The sequence below is a fragment of the Homo sapiens genome, chromosome 18 (assembly GCF_000001405.40).
Source record: "Homo sapiens chromosome 18, GRCh38.p14 Primary Assembly".
Classification (NCBI taxonomy): Eukaryota; Metazoa; Chordata; class Mammalia; order Primates; family Hominidae; genus Homo; species Homo sapiens.
In genome coordinates this window covers 6,984,577-6,999,226 of record NC_000018.10, presented here as the reverse complement: position 1 = coordinate 6,999,226, position 14,650 = coordinate 6,984,577, and the positions used below count along the sequence as shown (strand labels likewise).

Below are 14,650 nucleotides of genomic sequence, written 5' to 3'. Positions count from 1 at the left end.
TTCCTCTGGCACTCAGAGCAGCACAGTGATTTCAACTTTCTCCTTTAGTGGCATTAATATTTCCTTTAGTGGAGCCAGGAGTGATTTAGTGCAGGAGAGGAAACAGCTTTGTGGGGTTGTCATTTGTGTTACCCCAATTTCATGATAGCTTCCACTCGTGACTATCATGGACTTAAAAAAAAAACAAAAACAAAAAAATGGAGTCTTGCTCTGTCCCCCAGGCTGGAGTGCAGTAGCACAATCTCGGCTTATTGCAACCTCCGCCTCCTGGACTCAAGTGATTCCTCTGCCTCAGCCTCCCGAGTAGCTGGGATCACAGGTGTCCACCACCTTGCCTGGCTAATTTTTGTATTTTTAGTAGAGACAGGGTTTCACCATGTTGGCCAGGCTGGTCTTGAACTCCTGACCTCAGGCAATCCGCCTGCCTTGGCCTCCCAAAATTCTGGGATTACAGGCATGAACCACCATGCCCGGCCTGTCGTGGGCTTTTGTAAACTTTTTTTCCAGTTCTGATTTATTCTACCAGCAAGTGCATGAGATAGTCAGCTTGGGATGTCTTCTCAGGGGTTAATGGGGAAGATAGGGAGGCCTGTTAGGACCATGGCATTGGAGGTCTTTTTTGCTTTGACTTTTGTGTGGGTTATAAGCACAAACACCCCCACTATTCTCTCCAGTGTCCTTCACTTGTACTTGTGAAAGATGCATTTGCAAACTGCCTGAGGAGGTGACAGAGCAGGCTGTGGAAGGGAATGCTGGGATTCAGTGCAGTGGGTCCTAGTTAAAGATGAGCCAGGCAGCATAAAGATGGGGGCAGAAGAATGAAATGTGTGCCATAACTCCCTGCCTGTCTTTAGGTGCATCCGTTCTCCAGTTCTGCCTTACTTCCTTGCCTTTGCTTCCCTGGCTTGCCTTCCTCGCCTTTCATTACAGTCAATAAAGTTCTTTTCGTCAGCGTGTGTTCACCCCTCTTCCCCCTGCTGTTTTTCATGCTTGCTCATAGTTGTTTCAACTCTCTTACCACCTTATCACTTAGTAAGCAAAGACCCTTTTGCTTACTGGGCGCCACTCTTGGCCTCAGCTGTTTCTTTCTGTGTGACCTCTGGGAAGTTACTTATCTGATCTGAGTCTTGGCGTCATCATTGAATAGGGGCCTAGCACTTCCTGCCGTGCCACCCATGGCACAGTTGGAGTGAGAATGAGATCAGATGTGGTGCACGGGGTCTTGGAGTGTACTCTGACCGCATGTGTCATTTTCACAAAACAACTTGCGCAACTCCATGAAAAAATGGGCAGACCACATCGCATTAACTTTAACTCTCCTTTTTAAAAATTTGTCTTGTAGCCTGTGATGATGAGTGTGTAGGTGTGCTGCTGAATGACTTGGATGAGATTGGTGATGCCGTTCTTTCTCTGAACCTCACTGGCATTATCCCTGTCCCATATGGAATTTTGTCAAACCTGGAAAATACAACTAAATATCTCCAGGTAGGTACTGGAAATACAGAGATGAACAGACACTTGTATCATTAAGGGATATAGTCATTGGGAATGGTGGGAGTCATTCCATGTGTCCTCCCCACATTGTGAGAGCCCAACTTCCATCAGCCCCTGCGGGCAGGTGTCCAGTCTTTCCTTGACTGTGACCAGTGACAGGCACTTACTTACTTATCTCACACGCTAGCTTGTTTCACGGTGGGACAGCTCTCATCATTTCAGTGCTCTCTGGAGGACTCCTCATCAATGCTGCCCTCTGTGGCCCTCATTCTGCCTTTTGGGATAAGGCCAAGTCCACTTGCTCTTCTGTAAGACAACTTTGGGTATTTGCAAACAGCTGCCCTATTAGAAAAGCAGAAAATAGGCCAGGCACGGTGGCTCACACCTGTAATCCCAGCATCCCAGCACTTTGGGGGGCCAAGGCGGGTGGATCACGAGGTCAAGAGATCGAGACCATCCTGGCCAACGTGGTGAAACCCCATCTCTACCAAAAATACAAAAATTAGCTGGATGTGGTGGCGCGTGCCTGTAGTCCCAGCTACCTGGGAGGCTGAGGCAGGAGAATTGCTTGAACCTGGGAGGTGGAGGTTGCAGTGAGCCGAGATCACACCACTGCACTCCAGCCTGGCGACAGAGCAAGACTCCATCTCAGAAAAAGAAAAAGAAAAAGAAAAAGAGAAGAAAAGCAGAAAATAAATCTGAACAGTATCTTCTTTAAGGTATATTATTTTTAAAGTGTATTATTCTTCACTGCACTAAAGTTGCAGGGCACAAAATCTCTCCTCCCTGGAAGGCTACATTAAATGTCTGGCAGTAAATCATAGTTTTATGTTTTCATCAACAGAGCCTGGGTCAAAAAAGGGTGAGGAGTTAAGAAATTAACTTAGTAGACAGCATCCTACTATAGCACTTATTTATTTTTATTATCTTATTTATTTATTTTATTATTTTTTTGAGACAGGGTCTCCCTCAGTCACCCAGGTTGGCATGCAGTGGCGCAGTCATGGCCCACTGCAGCCTTAACCTCCATAGCTCAAGGGATCCTCCTGCCTTAGCCTCCCAAGTAGCTGAGACTACAGGCACACACCACCATGCCTGGCTAGTTCTTTTATTTTTATTTTTAATAGAGATGAGCTCTCACTATGTTGTGCAGGCTGGTCTTGAACTCCTAAGCTCAAGAGAACCTCCCACCTTGACCTCTCAAATTTCTGGGATTATAGGCATGAGCTACCACGCCCGACCTACTTTTAATTCTAATTGGAAAACAGTGTGATTCTTAAATTTTGCTTTATATATGCGTTAGAATTTGACATAATCTATGCAGTGCACCAGGTAGCAATAAAAGGGATGGCCATTCCTAAATGCCTTTTCTTAGATAAGAGTTTTCCTCAAACTTAGGACTTCCTTAGGTGTGTGCGTGTGTTTATGTGTGCGCTGGGATGGGGCTGGTTCTTGAATCCGTCTTGATTTGCAGTGGTCTTTTCTCTATAATGGTAGTTCAGAAAGGTTAGGGACCTCTAAGAGATGTTTTTATGTTATACTTTCCTCAAACGTCACAAAGTGTTTTTGAAAAATGAGAGCTTTTACCTCTATAAAAAAAAGAATATTTAACTTTTTTTTCCAATCACTATATACACGATCAGTATAATATCTGCCAGTCTTGGTCCCAGGGATATAACTATTTTATATATATCAAATAAGACAAATATTTGATTTAAATTTTAACTCATTTTGAATGATTTGCTCTAAATAAACCACTTGTCCGTTTTCTTTAAATAACTTTTTGTGTTTATGTAAAGTATTCATCAAGTTTTAAGGTTGAAATAAAATTATACAAGAAATTAGAAGGCTGTTGGCATAAATTAAGCACTTTATTTTTCTTTATTTTTAGTATTTATAAAGTCTTTCTTTATTGAATTCTTTTGTAGTTTAGCCTAAAAGGCATTTTTTTCTTAGGTGTTGCAATTATAGTTAAATTTGTGTGACTCTGCTATTGAGATAAAGCCAGACTTTTATCTGAGAATTGCAGCAGTATCAGATTCTGCTGAACACAACAGATTTTAAATTTATATCTATATCAGAAATATAATGCAAAGGATGGCAGTGTAGAATCATGTCGCTATAATCGAAACCTAAGTAAATGTGATCCATTTTTTTTTAAAATGACAGTTCCAAGGAAAGAAGAATTTCTTTCTGTGAACAAAAAAGAAATGCAAGTGCTTCTTAGTTAAGAATCAGAACATTTTACTTCGAAGCATTGTAATTTGTTTCCTCCATTCTTCCTAGGAATCTTTATTAAAAGAAAATATGCAAAAGGACCTGGGAAAAATTAAGCTTGAAGGTGTTGCAGAAGAAACGGACAACCTGCAAAAGAAGGTAAATTCTTTCCATAACCAACCAACCTTCCTCCTGGTCCCTCCCATCAGCCCTCCTGAGCAGTTGCCTTGGGGCTGTCTGGAAGGTTCTGATTAGATCATGCCAGCCTCTTCCTCCCACGAGCTGTGCTCCAGGTACTTAATCATCAAATTGGTTTTGACCCTGCCAGTTTCTGTGGTTTAGTGGGAAAAGGCTCCCGACTTAATGTCTGTTGTCATCTCTGCTGAGGACAGAGTTGGGCAGTCTCTTGGCTCTGACTTTCATTTTCTCCTCTGAAACAAAGGTGGGGCGGGGATGAAAAGATTGCTGAGGTTTCTTCCTTCTCCTAAATTCATTCAGTAACGAAGTACACGGTGAGCCCAAAAGCACGGACTGAACATCAGTAATGCTCTCTGCAGCTTGCTGGGTGGAGCAGGGAGGGCACAGACCTCATGATGAGGCATCTGTGCAAACTTCAGGCTTCAGGCTGGGGTGGTTCTGATTTTAGGGCCCTGAATGGCAAGTGAGCTTGTTTTTCTGTCATCAGGGAATTATTTATTCTGTTTAGCCTGTGCCAGAGGAATGGCATTTAGTGACCTAAAAAAGAATCTCCCCTTCTGCAGATGGTGAGGAAGGATTATTGTCAAATTTACTGTTTTTTCATTTATGAATTTTGTATGTGTGTGTGTGTGTGTGTGTGTGTGTCTGTACTGTGATGGTGTATCTATACATATGGATGTCTAATCTCCATCAACACATGCACACATACACAAACATCACCCTAGGAAGTATAGTTTGGCTCCTGTTAATTTAGAATTAACGATGTTTTGGAAAGAGTTGAAGGGTTTAAGTTTGGGTTTAAGTACCTCATCAAGCAAACATTTGGTTGGAAATAGGCTGATTAAAATAAATTCTCTGTATCCGTTATTCTCTTTGGTCTTGACTAGAAAACACCAAACTCAGACTGGGTTACTCTACATTCTTGGAAATTACAAACAACCTTTCCTTTAACAAAGAGTAAAAATCCCAGTAGAAATAACAGCTGAGGACAGCTAAGTGTCAGCCTCTGGGCTGCTGACTTCCTGGCTCTCGTCTTGTGTAGTTCTCGTAGCAGCCCTGGGAGGTAAGCGTTGCTGTTTCCCAAGTGTTACAGACAATGCTTGGAGATGTCTGGGCCTGTCCACAGCCTGGAGAATCAGGTCTAAAATCAGCTTGCCTGACTCCGTGTTCTTAACTCCTAGAGACTAACATCTCATAGGCCATACAAATCAGTAAGGTTTACTTTCTATATTCTGTATATTTGGGTTTTAAAGTGAATCGAGGGCCCTCACAGTATAGCCACTAGGAGAATCTGTAGTTTAATACACAATTAGCCTGCTTTTAAAAACATACCCATCTTTTCTTATGCTGAGTGAGTTGTAAATTATTTCATTAACTACTTAGTCCATTTCTAACCCCAAAATATTAAGCTCGGCTTGCATGATAATGCTCATCTTTACTCTATATTCTGGAATATATGTTGTTGCTTATAAGCGGCAACAGTGGAATATTACAACTTGCGTATTATTTAAAGTCAAACTAATTACTTAAAGTCAAACTAACCTGAGACTTTATTTTTCCACCAGCTCACTAGGATGTTAGCGAGTACCCAAAAGGTGAATAGGGCAACTGAGAGAATCTTCAAGGAGAGTCAAGACCTGGCCATAGCCATTGAGAGGCTGCAGATGAGCATCACAGGTAGTGTGGGCAGTGTCTAGTTTGAAGTATCTGTGCTTATCTAGTAAGAAGTCACCATTGCTTTATTAAACATATGAATAGATGTATATCTCTTGCATCGGGTTTCCGGAACCAGAGGGGCTGGAATAGTTTGGGGATCCTGAGATGTGCAAACTTTAGTCTTTGACTGAGAGTTTTAGCTTTAAAAAAATGCATATTTCTTTTTTTATTTTCTGCATTATGCCTAAAACTTAGATCCTAATTCTCAAGCCCTGTTATGGTAAAGTTAGTATGGTAGCTCTCCATCCATTTGCCCAGAATAGGAGCTGACAGGATTTGGGACTTCAGTTAGGTACCAAGTATATCCATCACATTAGAATAATTTAATCACTTCTCAGTTGGGTGTGCTGTGGCTTTTAGCATACTATTTTCAGTTTTCTGGCTACCAGAAACATATGATCGCTCTTCTTTTTATATTATAGTGTAAGGGCTTAAAAAGTACAGAATCCAATAAAAATCAGACTTTATAGGGCAAAAGGTAAGGAAATTATTAGAACAAAGTATACTTAATAAAAAAAGTAGGATCAAGCATTGGTGGTTTATTTATGCAGTAAATATTTATTGAGAACATTTATTTTTCATGTGCAGATGTCTCTGCCAGGTACAAGGAAATGCTGAGGTTGACACCATGTCCTTGCCTTTAGGGAGTTTATTGGTGCATGAGAAGACTTTGAAATAGACCAGTAATCCCAAGTTCATGAATGTTTAGTTAGGGGATGTGCAGAGTACACTGGGATATGCCAGGTGGCCTGGCCTGACATGGAGGTCCAACTCAGCTTAGGTAAACAGAGCAGTCCTCAGCAGAGAAGTTTCTAAGTTCTTCACTTGGTACTAGCCACTTTTGAGAGGCTTATTAAATAATTGATGAATTTTCTCCATAGAAATTATGGAAAAGACAACTTTAAATCAGACTTTGGATGAAGATTTCCTACTACCCAATTCTACTCTTCAGAACATGCAACAGAATGGTACATCTTTGCTAGAAATCATGCAGATAAGAGACTTCACACAGTTGCACCAAAATGCCACCCTTGAACTCAAGTAAGTTTCTAATTACTGTGTGCAATGCAACCAAGTAGAGAGAGAAACTTGCACGCTATCTCCAAAGGAGAAGGAGGCATCGTGGAAGAAAAGTGCTCACTGGAAATGAAATATCCTAAGAGAGGAGAAGGGGCCCTGTGGTCAAGTAAATGAAGAGATGGGTACTGACCCCTCCAAATATAGAAAGGTGTAATCTGTGCAGTCAGTGTAATCTATCTTTGTGCTATCATGCGGTAGCTTCTGTCCTTTTCTGTGATTCCGGGATGTTTCCACTTAGCACAAACAGCATAGCCTCATGGTACTGTAGATCAAGGATAAGGCAGTAAACTCTCATAGAAAAAAATCGTTGGTGGCCACCCATACCATGAACTCTAAGACAGGTCAATGTTATGCCAGAATAATTGAGCTTAGTTATATAAAAAAGTATAGTTACATTGAAACCCACGATGTGAAGTGACACAGAGATCACAAAGCATTCTTACATACAGTCACAAGGAGTTTGGAGTTTCCTTTCCAGCTTTTATCTTAGCATTTCCACACAGGTATTACTTGATATACTAGCACAGGCTGTCTCTCTGCAGGTTGTAATGAATGTCTGAAGTGCTGTTATAAATAGTTACATGATACTTTATTAAAACTCTACTCTGGACGTTACTATCTAAACTATAATCTAATGAAATGATATAGTCATGTGAGATATTTAAACTTTAATATTTTGCTATTTTAAATTATGTTGTGAGGGACTTCTTATTCAAATGTTTTATATCTTTTTCTATATTGAAATATCAAATATTTATTTATACTGTATATATCTCTTCTTTTTCTGTATTTCAGATTATTTTCAGGGTAGATATTAAGAAGTAGAATTATTGGCTGGGCGTGGTGGCTCACGCATGTAATCCCAGCACTTTGGGAGGCTGAGGCGGGCAGATCATCTGGGATCAGGAGTTCAAAACCAGCCTGGCCAACAAGGCAAAACCCGTCTCTACTAAAAATACAAAAATTAGCTGGGCATGGTGGTAGATGCCTGTAATCTCAGCTACTCGGGAGGCTGAGGCAGGAGAATTGCTTGAACCTGGGTAGCGGAGGTTGCAGTGAACTGAGATCATGCCACTGCACTCCAGCCTGGGCGACAGAGCAAGACTCCGTCTCAAAAAAAAAAAAAAAAAAAGAAGAAGAAGTGGAATTATTTAGTCAAAGAATTTGTGTTTTGAGGATTCCTAACATGCACTTCCAAATAATTTTTTTTTTATATTTTTTAAAAACAATGTTCACTGCCACCAGCAACACACTAGAGGGTTGGGTATGTGTCTTTTTTCATCATAGAGCATAATTTTTGACGTTGTTGATTTGTTAGGTGAAAAACAAAAGGAGGTGCTTACAGTTGGATGGAGTTTGGAGAGAGGACTAGTAATCTAATTACTAGAATAATAGGGCCTGGAAAGGGCTCTGAGAGAACTAGGATCTAAAGGCCTTGCGCAGGGGGAATGAGAGGAGGACGTGGTCCTGGGAGATGGGCGTGAGCAGCTGTCTGTGGAGCCCCTCCTCTGTGCCAGGAGAGTGCTGGCTTCTCTTCTCACATTGTGTTCTGTGATCATCTCAGTCTTTCCAAGTAGGGGAGAACCCAGTTGAGGAAACTGAGGCCCAGGGAATATAAGTAACTTGCCCTATGTTAAGCCCCCGGGACAATATGAAACCTGACCACAAACCTGAATCTGTTTGAGTCTAAACCCTATTATTTTCCCACCCAGAACAAAAGGAAGTACCATTTGAGACCCATTCCATAAAAGATGGGCAGGTGGAATTTGGACAGTCGGAGACATCGAGGGCCTTTCAGGGGCGGGGAAACGAGATCTAAGTCTAGCATAGGTGGAGAGCCATTGAACAAGGGAACACTGGAGCCAAAGAAGCTCAGCTGAAGTTTGCATCGAATTTGAGAGGCAATGGGTAGTGGTGACAGAAGCCAAGGTGCGAACGTTAGTCCTGCAGCCCCGACTGCACACTGAGGCTTCAGCTGTGCTCTTCTCGGGCAGCTCCAACCAGGGCTTCCCAGGACCTGCCCACCCTGGAGGCGATGCCCCTGGGTGGGGCTCTGCTCCCTAACCTTCCTCAGCCCCCCACACATCTGAGTTGGTGGGGAGCATGTGAAGGATGGAGATTCCCAGGCCCACCCTGCAGATCCTAGAGAATCATTTTGTGGGGCTCTCCCCTCCCACCGTTACCCTTCTGAGGTCAGTTCATTCATTCATTCATTCAGCAAAGTGACCTGAACCCTGGTTACAAGCATTGTGCCAGGAGTTGGGAACATACAGGGGAACAATAGAGCCTTTTGCCCACTAGGAGCTCCTGGTCAATTTAGGGAAAGTTTATTTTCTGAATATGCACTTTAAATACAATAAGAAAGTTTAAAATAGAGGTCAAATTTTCATCTATAGGATGATGTTAGTATCTAAACCACAATCACATGAAATGATATAGTCCTTAATGACTTGAACATGATTAACCACCAAAAACAAAACAAAACAAAAAACCCAGCACTCTTCATTAGCTTCTTCTAGCAAAATTGACAGAGGAAACTGGTGTTTCTCAAGCTATGTGCCTCTATAACACTAGTGTCCCATGAACTCCTGGGCAGATTCCTTGAACAAATATTAACCTTCCTAGGATCTGCAAGGCAGGCCTGGGACTCTCCATCCTTAACAAGCTCCCCAGCAACTCAGATGTGTGGGGGGCTGAGGAAGGTTAGGGAGTGGAGCCCAGCCCTGGGGCACTGCCTCCAGAGTGCGTGGTTCCTGGGAAGACCTGGTTGGAGAGACCTGAAAGGAGGTGGGTAGGCAGGGCCAGCCCCCACCCCCACCTGTTCCCCTCAGTGCCTCCTGACCCTCCCCTATTGGCGAGGGCCTCTAGGATCCCTTTAATTTGTAAGTTAAAATACTACTAAAGAGACCTTTTATTTTAAAAATCAAGAGTTTAAAATGTATTCTCTGGCCTCCACTTTCTGATTTTCCATAGATAATCCCTATATATATGCCATTTCAAAATACATGGATTATTTTAGGAATTATCTGCTTTTTAATTATAATTCTTAAAACATTGGTGGTTCATGCTGAAGCATGGCAATTGTATAGATGAGAAGTTTAGCACACAGACTGATTACTTTTCATGCTGGGTCGGGGGTCTCCAGAACTAACACCACATTCAGAGTTTCACCAGGACCCCCAGGATTCAGCATATAACTGTACTTACAGCTAAGATTTATTAAGGAAGTCCAGCCAGATGGAACAAAAGGACACAGCAGAGTCTGGAGAAATCCCTGAAGTCCTCTCCCCATGTGGGATCCCAGAGAGCACTCCTCCCCCAGCAAGAAAAATGCAGCAACATGTGTGTGATGTTTCTGCCCAGGGAAGCCTGTCAGAGATGCAGTATCCAGGGATTTTGTTGGAGCTGTACTGGTAGGCACCCTCTGCCTAGCACATAGCAAAAGTCGACTCCCAGAAGGAAAGCAGGTGTTCAGCATAAACCATGTTGCTTGCACAAACAGCCCAGGTAGTGAGCTACTCTTAGCAGTTAGGGATCAGTGGGAACGCAGCCCACCTCGCCAGCAGGCCTTTCAGAGGAGAGCAGACTCCATCCAGCCCGCCACGTTGACTCTTTACTGTACACTTCGGATTATTGTTTGTAGCTGTTTTTCAAATGATTTCCATGCTGGTATCTCAGACCTATTAAAAGATTTTTTTTTTTTTTTTTTTTTTATTGAGACGGAGTCTCCTCTGTCTCCCAGGTTGGGGTTCAGTGGTGCGATCTTAGCTCACTGCAGCTTCCGCCTCCCGGGTTCAAGCGATTCTCCCTCCTCAGCCTCCTGAGTAGCTGGGATTACGGGCACCTACCATCATGCCCGGCTAATTTTTGTAATTTTGTATTTTTGTAGAGACAGGGTTTCACCATGTTGGCCAGGCTGGTCTTGGACTCCTGACCTCAGGTGATCTGCCCGCCTTGGCCTCCCAAAGTGCGGGGATTACAGGCATGAGCCACTGCGCCCGACCAAAGATATGTCATTAAAGAAGCACATTCCAAGACACAGTGTCTACTAAGGAGAGCCAAGTTCTGTACTGCAGGTCTTCTCAAAGCTTTTAGTACGCTGACGCACATCAGCAGCCCCGTGGAGGATCCGGCTCACTTCTTTCACCCTGGAATATTTGTTCAAGGAATCTGCCTGGCAGTTCATGGGACATTGGTGTTGTAGAGGAACATAGTTTGAGAAACACCAGTTTCCTCTGTTAATTTTGCTAGAAGAAGCTAATGAAGTGCTGAGTGGGGTTTTTTTGTTGATTAATCTTGTTCAAGTCATTGAGGACTATGTCATTTCACCTGATTGTAGTTTAGATAGAAGAGTCATCTTGTAGATGAAAATTTGGCCTCTGTTTTGAGCTTTCTTTTTTCTCTTTTTGAGACACGGTCTCACTCTGTCACCCAGGCTGGAGTGCAGTGGCGCAATCTCAGCTCACTGCAACCTCCACCTCCCAGGCTCAAGCGATTTTCCCACCTCAGCCTCCTGGGTAGCTGGGACTACAGGCACGCACCACCATGCCTGGCTAATTTATTTTAAATTTTCTTAGAGAGATATCTTATTTAATAATAAGGAATAATAGATTCATGATCACACATTAGAAATATATTGGGTTTATTTGTGTTTTCTTACGTATGTGTTTTAGTTCTTGTTGCCTGCTCATAATGCAACGTCTTTATTATCGTTAAAAATTATATCATTAAAAATTATAAGTGCCGATGTTATTCTAATAATGTCAGAGTTCAAATTTATAACCTTGAAAAATGTTTTTGGTCGTGTCTTAACCCAGTGACCTGACACCTGTGAAAGCTGAGGGTGTTTTACAGGGCATTTTCCATAGAATTTTTCAAAATTGTCCTGACAAATTAAAATGAAGAGTTAATAGGATATACTCCACCACTGCAAGGATTTGTAGCATGAAATTTTATTATTCTATGCAGCTATAAATTCAAAATTGATTTAAATCAGCAATTTGATGGCATATTTATAAAGACATAGGAAAAAAATCTTTTGGTATTCTAAAGCTTGCATTTATCCATGGTACAAATCATATCTTTTTGTCAATTTGAATTTGAAAGCTTTTATGAAATCTGTTTCTTCTTAACTAGCTGCAGAAAATCCTTTTATCGTATATATAAATTGGTAAATTCTTAACAAATCACTGAATAGCTTTCTTTCAATTTCTTGCTGTATTATATATAATGAAAGATTGCAGTTCCCATCAACACAGAATGTTGTCCCAATTTCCTGAATCCAGATTCATGGAGATGATCTTTTTTAATTCCATTACTAAAATGTATTAGAAAGTTTAAGTGTTCGGATTCCCACAAAGCCCACTGGACCCAAGTTTACCAGGAAATTTGGGGAGGTGGGATTTAATGAGCTTCATCATTTATAAAATCATCAGAGCTGCTGATAAAAGAAGTAAAGCTTTGGGCCGGGCGCAGTGGCTTACGCCTGTAATCCCAGCACTTTGAGAGGCCGAGGTGGGCAAGTCACCTGAGGTCAGGAGTTTGAGACTAGCCTGGCCAACAGGTGAAACCCAAACCCCGTCTCTACTAAAAAAAATTAGCTGGGCGTGATGGCAGGCACCTTAATCCCAGCTACTTGGGAGGCAGAGGCAGGAGAATCGTTTGAACATGGGAGGTGGAGGTTGCAGTGAGCTGAGATCAAGCCATTGCACTCAAACCTAGGGGACAAGAGCAAGTCTTCTCTCAAAAAATAAGAAGTAAAGCTTTGAAAGCTTCAAGACTTGTGCCTGCTTGTGGTCATCCTAACCGGCTTAACTTGAAATACACATGAGATGAAAGATCACCGTGCCTGTAAATTTCAGCAAACTATATGGGAACATGGAACATCACTGTGCACTTATATAAGTACCATTTACTTCCTGTCATGAATAAATGTATCTGTGAGATGCACCACTAAAAAAAAAAAAAGACAATTTGTTAAGGATAAAATATAAACCTGCCATACCTGTAGCTATCTTAGAAAAATTGTTTCCATTCTTAAGAAGTTATGATGTATCACTTACAATTTCAAAAAGAGACTAGGCATAAATACGTAAAAATTTTTTCCACTATTATTTCAGAGATAGGAGCTTTGTTGTTCATTTACTTACTATGTGAACCATTCATATTTATCAGGGCTGCTGAAGATTTATTGTCACAAATTCAGGAAAATTACCAGAAGCCGCTGGAAGAATTGGAGGTATTGAAAGAAGCAGCAAGCCACGTCCTTTCAAAGCACAACAATGAACTAAAGGCGGCTGAGGCGCTCGTGAGGGAAGCTGAGGCAAAGATGCAGGAAAGCAACCACCTGCTGCTCATGGTCAATGCTAATCTGAGAGAATTCAGTGTGAGTCTCACTTGCTCTCTCCTTCTCAATTAGAACAGGTAACAAAATACTCCAACGTAAGCAATTAAAAGTGAGCCCTGGCCTGGCTGGGTGGCTCACGCTTGTAATCCCAGCACTTTGGGAGGCCGAGGCAGGCAGATCATGAGGTCAAGAGATCGAGACCATCCTGGCCAACATGGTGAAACCCCGGTCTCTACTAAAAATACAAAAATTAGCTGGGCGTGGTGGCATGCGCCTGTAGTCCCAGCTACTCGGGAGGCTGAGGCAGCAGAATCGCTTGAACTTGGGAGATGGAGGTTGTAGTGAGCCGAGATCATGCCACCGCACTCCAGCCTGGCAACAGAATGAGACTCCATCTCAAAAAATGAAAATAACTTTAAAATAAAATAAAAGTGAGTCCCATGCACTAACTTCTGCACGTAGCATTAGGCACCAAAGGTCAGAAGCAGGGTTGCTTTTATGAAGCACCCTTAAAATGCCGTTTCTGCTGCAGGATAAAAAGCTGCATGTTCAAGAAGAACAAAATCTGACCTCAGAGCTCATTGTCCAAGGAAGAGGATTGATAGATGCTGCTGCTGCACAAACAGATGCTGTACAAGATGCTCTAGAGGTAAATTACATCTCAGCACAGCCACAGTACAGTTTTTAAAGAATCTTCACACATCTTTTCTATATGCACACATATCTGTTATTAAGTAGATGTGCATATATTTACAATATTAATTTCTCCATGTAGCACTTAGAGGATCACCAGGATAAGCTACTTTTATGGTCTGCCAAAATCAGGCACCACATAGATGACCTGGTCATGCACATGTCCCAAAGGAACGCAGTCGACCTGGTCTACAGAGCTGAGGACCATGCCGCTGAGTTCCAGAGACTAGCAGATGTTCTGTACAGGTAGGAACACGCCTTTGTGGGAACTCAAGAGCTTGCAGTCTATTGATCGGAGAAATAGATGGATGTTTCTATTCACAGTGATGGGTCACTCTTCCTTTGTGTAAAAATGAGCACTCCTGTTTTATTTACCTGGCAAGTTGGATTTCCTTGTGTCTGCTAACATAGTTTACCATTGGCCTACATATATGGTGGAAAAATGCAAATAACAGGAGAAGACTTAAAACACATAATATGCTACAGTATAATATTAATATAATAAAACACATATTATGCTACAGTATCAAGCCATCAAGGCTTTATTAAGCACCTACTGAATGCTCAGGGCTTTGTTAGGTTGCAGGTGGAACAGAATGAGGTTATTAATTTCTTTACAGATCTTGCCTCTTTGGAGTTTATTATTTGGTTGGAGGATGTGGCTGCCCACTCTCTACCTATAGAAGTGTTGGGAGTCTCTTTTCCAATCCCTGAGAGATACCACCTCCAATTATTTTCTACTGCCTGAAAGTCTGCCATTGTAATACAATTACTTTAACTTATATTTTTTGGATATTTAAAAAATATGTACTCAACTTGCTAAAAATTCCTTTAAACGAGAAGCACAATTTTAGCCATCCGTTTCAAACTTGTCTGCACATTGGAATCACCTGGGGAGCTTCTTAA

General features: G+C 41.9%; 1 protein-coding gene across 1 annotated transcript in view; it reads left to right on the top strand.

Annotated features, from left to right (window-relative positions):
• The window catches only part of LAMA1 (laminin subunit alpha 1), a 176,056-nt gene that overhangs the window by 118,571 nt on the left and 42,835 nt on the right, over positions 1 to 14,650 (top strand). The window contains exons 33-39 of the mRNA NM_005559.4: positions 1,343 to 1,485; positions 3,781 to 3,870; positions 5,475 to 5,586; positions 6,507 to 6,666; positions 12,880 to 13,090; positions 13,584 to 13,700; positions 13,827 to 13,990. Coding sequence (NP_005550.2) covers positions 1,343 to 1,485; positions 3,781 to 3,870; positions 5,475 to 5,586; positions 6,507 to 6,666; positions 12,880 to 13,090; positions 13,584 to 13,700; positions 13,827 to 13,990 — 997 coding nt within the window. The remainder of the gene's footprint in view (positions 1 to 1,342; positions 1,486 to 3,780; positions 3,871 to 5,474; positions 5,587 to 6,506; positions 6,667 to 12,879; positions 13,091 to 13,583; positions 13,701 to 13,826; positions 13,991 to 14,650) is intronic.